This window comes from Homo sapiens, chromosome 14 (genome assembly GCF_000001405.40).
Source record: "Homo sapiens chromosome 14, GRCh38.p14 Primary Assembly".
Taxonomy (NCBI): domain Eukaryota; kingdom Metazoa; phylum Chordata; class Mammalia; order Primates; family Hominidae; genus Homo; species Homo sapiens.
The window spans coordinates 97,868,472-97,876,964 of NC_000014.9; the positions used below are offsets into that span (position 1 = coordinate 97,868,472).

General features: G+C 43.2%; 1 annotated feature.

Moving 5' to 3' along the window:
* Positions 1 to 176: a silencer, noted in NCBI's record as "fragment chr14:98334809-98334984 (GRCh37/hg19 assembly coordinates)". NCBI's record gives its function as "represses an EF-1alpha promoter that drives an FKBP-Casp9 reporter gene in an ReSE screen in HepG2 liver carcinoma cells {active_cell/tissue: HepG2}" and the evidence as "EXISTENCE:reporter gene assay evidence [ECO:0000049][PMID:32094911]".

Consider the following 8,493-nt stretch of genomic DNA (forward strand, 5'->3'; position numbering starts at 1 on the left):
ACTACCAAACGTAACCATGATAGTAATCAGGGGAAATGATAGTCTGCGTTCTTTATCCCCACCTCTCCCAAGTCACTCTTTGCCTTCTGGCCTTTTTTTTAAATGGCTTGGGCTGCTGCCCTTGGGCCTCACCCCTGTGGCTTCACCTCTTCCTCACGGGCCCGTGAGCACTAAAACCTCTGGCAGCGGCTGGGACTGGCAGTCTTCCCTCAGCCTGTGGGCTTCTGCCTGCCCGATCAACCCCAGAGGGACCAAGAGCAGCTCTGAGAACCTTGTTCCCATCTTTTTTTTTTTTTTTTTTTTTTAGATGGAGTCTTGCTCTGTTGCCCAGGCTGGAGTGCAGTGGCGTGATCTCGGCTCACTGCAAGCTCCGCCTCCCGGGTTCACGCCATTCTCCTGCCTCAGCCTCCCGAGTAGCCGGGACTACAAGCGCCTGCCGCCACGCCAGGCTAATTTTTTTTTTTTTTTGTATTTTTAGTAGAGACGGGGTTTCACTGCGTTAGCCAGGATGGTCTCGATCTCCTGACCTTGTGATCTGCCCACCTCTGCCTCCCAAAGTGCTGGGATTACAGGCCTGAGCCACCGCGCCTGGCCCCTTGTTCCCATCTTTGACTGACATGGCAGATGTGTCTGCTGGATGCTGCCCATCCTTATTAGGAAGTTGGAGCAAGTGTGCTCTTACAGGCTTAGTGTGTGCCTCTGTGATAGCAAGTGTCACTCACCGTTCTGGAAATGCCTGGCTGCTCCAAAGACCCCAAACAACTTCAGTGACGAGTTCCATCTTGTCTCCCACAGTGCCCAGCACTAAGACTCTATGTCACTATCATGACAAGAGCAACCGCTGAGATGATGTTCAACAGTATGCCTGGCACTGAGGTCAGTACTATTTTTATTCTCACTTTATAGATGAGGAAACAGAGATGCCCAAATAGACTAAGCAATGTTCCTGGGTCACCAGTGAGGAAGAAATACAGCCAGGAGTTGAATAATCAGCCCCAGAGTCATACTCCAACCACAGCACATTGCTGCCTCTCTTAGAAGGTAAAACATAATCGAATGAAGCATGAAGGAGCCTGTCTTTTCAAGAGGAGTAATAAAAGAAGCCACCAAGGTCACCGTCCCACTGGGAAGGGCATATTTACCTGGTTCCAAATGAATTTAAGAATTCTCATTTTCTTGCAAACTAACTCCCTAACCTTTTTCAAACAACACATTCAGTGACACAATGTCATGTCGGGATGCAGAAATTGAATATTATAATTAAAATTTTCTCTGGGGGGTCTTGCTGCCACGTATAAGTGTCCATGATGATCAAGGGACAAAACATGAAAGTAGGGGGTGGCTGAAAGCTCCCTTAGCTCTTTTTATTTATTGATACCACTGAAATATAATAGAAACATCCTTCAAAGAAAGCAACACCAGCCAACCCTTCAGCTTTGATAGGGCTTTTTTAATCAGGAGACATTGTTGTCTCACAATGAACATGGAAAGCATTTAAAATATTTTGTAGATGGAGTGCATTGCATCTGACCCCAGCCAAAAGACCACATTAAAAGGAACTGAAAGGAATTCACTTTGAGTCCTCCGGGCTCAAAGAACCAAGGACATGCAGAACATGCTAAGGGTTGGATTCATTTGGAGGAAAAGGTGAAGCACCAAGTTAGAAAATGAGAGTCCAGATTTGCCTTGGGAGGTAGAGTATGGTTCCCCAGAGTGCAAGGGATGATAAGAGACACTGGACATTGCTACTGAGTCATTGATGTAATTGCTTTCTTTTGAGCATATGGAATCGGAGCTCAGTTTTCCGAGGGGTGACCAGTGGACTGCTGGTCGAGGGAATGCTTCAAAAATGCCTCTCTGTCACTTAAGTCTGGGACACATTCCATACTACCTCTGCCTCTGGTGACTGACACAGATGTATCCAAGGCTCTGAGGAGTTATTCGAAAAGGAGTCTCGGTAAGATTTTTAAAACTTTTAAAAAATATCCGCAGGGCCTTTTGCAGTCTGCAGGACGTAATTTGGGATGAGCCGCCAACTCATACAGGCACAGATCATAAGGGGTCATGAGAGGTCTGGAGTGACACACCTGGTTAGCCCTTGAACCTGTCTGCCCCAGTGAGTACTACCTTCTCCAAATCCCATTTCCCCCAAGCTCATCCAATTATACAAGTGACCAGGAATAAATCAAATGAAATTACTAGAGGGGTTTTTTTTTTTTAATAACAAGACATAGCTGATCTGATCTTATTAAAACAGGAGTTGGGCAGATTTAAGACATGAAAATAAATAACTAGAATACAAAGAAGAATAAAGCCAACGCCATAGACATTTGGCACAGTTCCTTAAGCATTTATGGGAGGAAGGAATGTCCTCTAGGTTGGGGAACTTGATGGGGTTGGGGGTACATCAGGGGAGGCTTCCTAGGGAAGGGATGGGAAGTAAAGAGCACCTTAAAGTGCAGATATTATTTTTATTAATAATAAAACCTTAATAATACTCTTTTCCAATTGATAACATCTAGTATCTCATAAAATAAATTAGATTGTAAAGTAGAACAGAGAAAAATATTTCCCATTAGTCTAGGACTGAAAGATAATTCTGATATTCATTCTTTATATAAAACCCAACTGTTTTGGCAACACAGCTAATATATTGTGTCTGCAACTTTTTAACTTAATTTTCTGTTTTTTACTCTTTCAAAAAATTTGGCTTAACCTGGCAAAAGAAGCATATATTCTTTCCAATTACTCTCTTCCATCATTGTCTAATTTATTTTTAACTTGAGGAATCATGGTTTAACTAATCAATATTGTCTTATTGAATAATTACTTTTTTCTAATTTTACATTTTAATGTTTTGCATAGCTCTGATAAAAACTTTGTACATGAAAGATTTTCTAGGTATATCAATTTCTGCTCTTAAGGTAGATGGAGAGTCTTGATGTCTCCATTATTTGGTTAGAGTAGAGATGAATATCAAGTATGGTATTGATTTGGCATATTGGTATGCAAAGTGTACAATGCTGTGCCTCCACGCCCCTGCCCCAAGGCTATACACATCGAATTTCTATGTTTCTACCAAAATGCCCTTCATCCAATTCAGATAGGAGTCACCCACTGTGTGGACAGAAGAGGATTGTTGGAATCTCAGAATCAAAGTTATGCATTTTTAACTTCTCAGTTGAAAAGTCATACTTCAAATGTTAGGCTGGAAAGTTTAGAAAAGAAGATGCAGGTGAGAGATGGTATATTCCCTCCCGTGTCCAACTACAAAAGCCCTTTAAGCTGGAGATGGAGAGAGACAGTGAGAAAGATAGAGAGAGAGAGGAAGGGAGAGAGAGAGAGAGAGAGAAAGAGAGAGAGAGAGAGAGGAGTTGGTGAAAGGAGTGGCTTTGCTCATTCTTGGCCCCCAGTCTTGGTACTAGGTGGGGAAGATCATGGAAACCCCACTTTGAGTCTGGGGAATCCAAGAGTTAGGAGGACCTGTACATCACCCATTCCATCTTCCTGCCTGGAATTCTGATAAACCACCATGTTGTCACCTTGACATCTCAGCAAATCAAGGGGTGGGAATAACAGGGCTGAGATGAAAGCACAGGTGTGTCAAGGTGGCAGCATGCCCCCACCCCAAAGTCACCCAGGAACCTGAGAAAGTTACTGGAGAACAGTGAGCTCCTCCTGGGGCCAAAACAATGGAACAGTGGGCTAAGGAAGGGCCATTGAGTGTCATGGCCCTTAAAGGCTGGGGACCGAGGATGCCTCTGCGCAACCATAGGGAGAGACATGCACAGGATGACGAGGCCAGAGGACCGTGGTGAGGTGGCAAATCCTTGCAGGACCAAGAGGCAGACTCCCCCTGCCCACAGTAGTCCTGACCATATAAGAAGTCCCTGAGGGCTTCAAATATATAGCAAAAGATGAAGCTATCAAAAAGAAAAAAAAGTGCCCATGGACAGCGGTCACACAAAGTTAGTTTTAATAGAAACGTCAGGGTTTGTCTGAACCCTTTCTTTTTATCTATGAGAAAACTGAGGCTCAGGGACTTGATGACACCCACATGACATGTAGGAGGAAGCGTGAAAATCAGATCATTGCATGAGGACCTCTCTGTCCACTCCATGGGAAAATCTACAGCAATTGACTGACCAAAGTGGAGTGCGGTTTTAGCAGTGTCTTAAGGGACTTGTGATCACCTGCAGGAGAAAACAGATGGAAAGTAAGATAAATAATGATAACATGTGTCCCTGTGCACTGTAGGGGATCGACAGAGGCTCTCAGCTCATCTTGGTCAGTCACCAGGGGCCACAGTGAAGAGCTCAGGTGGAAGGGCCAGCTGTGAGACTCTCCCAAACAGTAGAGCAGTGGCTCCTCAGGCAGGAGCCTCCCAGCTTCTCTGGGCTTGCTTCTACTTACATAAACCAATAGCATTCACCTTCTTTGCTTGGGGCTATTAGTCTTCCGATTTCAGGGTGGTGTGGACAAAATGAGGATGTTTCTGTGCACGAGACCTGTATTTCTTCTCTGTCCTTTTTATTCACTAGCTGCATAAATCACACAAGTCATTAAACCTCAGCTCAGTTTCCTCATCTGTAAAAATGGGGATATTGGCCCCCACTTCAAATGGGATATCACTTATAAAACAGGCAGCACAATAGGCAGTCATCTCATTCCATGGCAGACACTTCTCATGTGTTAATATCTCATTGACTCCTTGCAAATTGCCTTGTAAATGTTAATATCCATTTTATAGACCAGGGAGTGAAGGTTCACTAAATTGGGTCATTTGCCTTAGGCCTTAGAGTTACTGTCCTTGTTATTACATACAGTCATGCCCTAATGCTGTATTTTTACTGTACCTTTTCTGTGTCTAGATATGTTTAGATACACATGTATTTACCATTGTGTCACAGTTGCCTACTGTCTTCAGTACAGTATCATGCTGTACTGGTTTATAGCCTAGGAGTACTGGGCTGTACCATATGGCCTAGGTATGTGGCAGGATACACTATCTAGGTTTGTGTATGTACACACTGTGATGTTTGCACAATGACAAAGTCACTCAGGGGCAAATTTCTCAGATTACACCCCTGTGATGAAATGATACACAACTATTTATTTTCTCTGTCCTGCAGGGGAACAATATATCTCAGTCTTCAGGCTGCAGTGACTGGTCCAAAGTGTGATCATGTGATCCAAGTCTGGCCCATCATGCTCCTTTTGATTTGGAGCTAAAAGAGGGCTCATCACTTTTCTGTTCGCCAACCTGTGTTGCCTGTGGCTCTGTGGGGGCCACACAGTGGCTGATCTGAGGATTTGAAGGTGACACACACAGCAGAGATAAACACAGCAAAGAAGGTTTCATGCTCACATATCATTTATTCTCAAGGCCAGCTCCACCCCTGTCCACTTTGCGGTTTGACTCTTGACTCAATAACTTCCCTCTTTTTGCTTTGGCTAATCACAGTTAGGAATCTGTCACATACAACCCAAAGAATCCTGGTGAATACAGGACTTGGACCTAGGTAATTCAATGCCTGTGTAAATGTAAATTCAAATGTAAATTCAAAGCCTGCCTGTGTTCCTTCTACTTCATAAAAAGGGAGAAAGGAAGGAGGGAAACAGACAGGGACAAAATACTTTCTCCTTAATTTGTCAAGCATCACATCGAAGCTTCCTCGGCTCTCCAGAGATATGACCTAGGTAAGCTTGAAATCTATGCTTGCATTTTCTACAGAGTGCCCTTTCTAAATCACCTTATTTTGATGTAACTGCAAAAGGCAGAACTATTTTGGGTTCTTGCTATGATAAAACTGAAGCTGTAAGCTAGGGACTTTCATGAGAAATTGCACTGAAATGTCAACAGATGGCTTGCTAATCATGTTAAAAAATACTCATTTTTTTTCAAAAATGGCATTTCCCCCCAGTAAGTAGATCAGAAAGCAATGTTTATGATATAAAACATATTAGTCACAACGCCGTGTAATTATCCTACTTAATCATCAAGGTCATAATGATAATTGTTTCTAAAAATTAACACCTCTTCCCTTAGCAAGGAAGCTAACCCAAAATGCATGGTCAGAAACTCAAAATCGCTGCACTTAAAAGGATGTGCACGTTAAAAGGAGATGCACGCAGCAACCACAGAGATTGGGCGTAACGATTTACAAAGCGCTTTGCAGTAATAGGCTGAGGAGTGCCGAAATATTTGTTGGTCCATTTTTGCCAAAATCAAAGTCCCTGTTTTTCTTTATTCAAGAGGAAGGACTGGAGTCTTAAGAGCATTTGATCATGATTCACCATTGGATCTACCCTATTTTCTTGTAAAGATAGCTGTCTCTGTAAATCGGCTGGAGTTGGCCAAACATTGAAGACCACACTGCAGGGAGAAGTCCCCCCGCCCCCCAGCTTCTGTTCCCGACTTGCACTAACCTGCCACCATCTGAAGTTGGACTCTGCTTCTTGGTTTTACTGTGAATCTTTTGCTAGCTTGTGTTGTGTGGCTCCATGACACCAGTTCTGTCCTTACACTTCACACTCTGGGCTGTCTTCTACTTCTTTTCAAGAGTAGACTCTCTCCTCACAGTTCCAGCCCTCCAGGACCTAAATCCAGGAAGCAGCATTCTCAGCCAGCATCCCTTCTTATCCATCCTCCTCACCGCCAGCCCCCTTTGAGAGATGCTTCAAATGACTGTCATGCCCAGCCACTTAAATGTTATCAAATAAGCTAGTTCATGCAGCATGGGCCTGAAGCTTATCTTTGCAAGTGTCCCAAACAAGTTTACCTCTTTAGTCATGAAGTCTGCCTGAAATATACCATGTAGACAAGAAATAAAATGTGCTTAGTGTTTTTAGGTTACTGCAAAAGTAATTGCTGTTTTTTTGCCATTAAAATGGCAGTAGAGATGGAGACTACAGATTGCATGGATAACTGAAAACAAACTCACACAAGCAACCTCATTAAAAGAGAGGTGCTGGTTCATCTTCGGCACCAGACCCTTTCAGATACTAGTGATTTCCTGTGTGGGTGTCTGGCTGGACCCCAAACTCCCTACCTCTACAAACCAGTACATCTGCCTTTTTGTTAGTTGTGTTTACAAAGGTTGAGTGTTTACATTTCAAATGCCTTGGGAGAAGAGGAAAAAACCCCTATCACCCTATTCATTCTGCAAATGCAGAATCCCCACAGGCAGAGTCCACACATAATGGGAATTCAGTTTTTATGAATTTCCATTTTATGAATTTTTTAATGGCAAAACCAGCAATTACTTTTGCACCAATCTAATAATTCATCATTATTTAGAATGTCAATGACAGTACTGTCAGAGTGACTGTCAGAGCTACAAAGGGGGCATAGGACCATTTGATCACACACAGAAGGACACCAGGTTTTCTGTGCTTTTCAGTTCTTGTGTCACGCTATTAAATGTGTTCTTGAGTCCCTGAGTCTCTTGCTCTCAGGCTGCCATATCTGTGATTTCCGACAACTCCTCCCTTCAGGTGCCTGACTCTTCTGCAACAGCCTAAGATAAGAGGAGAGGATGTGGAGAAACAGGAATGCTTTTACACTGTTGGTCAGAGTGTACATTAGTTCAACCATTGTGGAAGACAGTGTGGCGACTCCTCAAGCATCTACAACCAGAAATACCATTTGACCCAGCAATCCCATTACTGGGTATGTACCCAAAAGATTATAGATCATTCTACTATAAAAACTCATGCACACGTATGTTTATTGTGGCACTATTCACAATAGCAAAGACTTGGAACCAACCCAAATGCCCATTAATGATAGACCGGATAAAGAAAATGTGGCACATATACACCATGGAATACTATGTAGCCATTAAAAAAGGTGAGTTCATGTCCTCTGCAGGCACATGGATGAAGCTGAAAACCATCATTCTCAGCCAACTAATACAGGAACAGAAAATAAAACACAGCATGTTCTCACTCATAAGTGGGAGTTGAACAATGAGAACACATGGACACAGGGAGGGGAACATCACACACCAGAGCCTGTTGGGGGATTGAGGGTAGGAGAGGGATAGCATTAGGAGAAACACCTAATGTAGATGACGGGTTGATTGGTGCAGCAAACCACCAGGGCATGTGTATACCTATGTAACAAACCTGCACGTTCTGCACATGTACCCCAGAACTTAAAGTTTAATTTAAAAAAAATAGAGGTGGCCCCTTAATTTATTTGGTGTCTGAAGGGAATTTGGAGGGTTTCACCACATAGCTGCTGCCTTGATGGAGGCTCCCTCACACTTCTTTCTTCCCTCTGCCTGGTGCCATGGTTGGGAGCACCAAGAATGCCTGGGTGTAAATCACTGCCTTGCCAATAATGAGCTGGGTCATTTGGGGCAACTTAGTACATGTCTGTGTGCCTCAATTTTCTCTTCTGTAAAGTAGGAATAAGAAGGGTACTTAACTCATCAGGGTATCTGGAGATTAAATAAATTCCTATTTGCAAAGCACTGAACACAAATA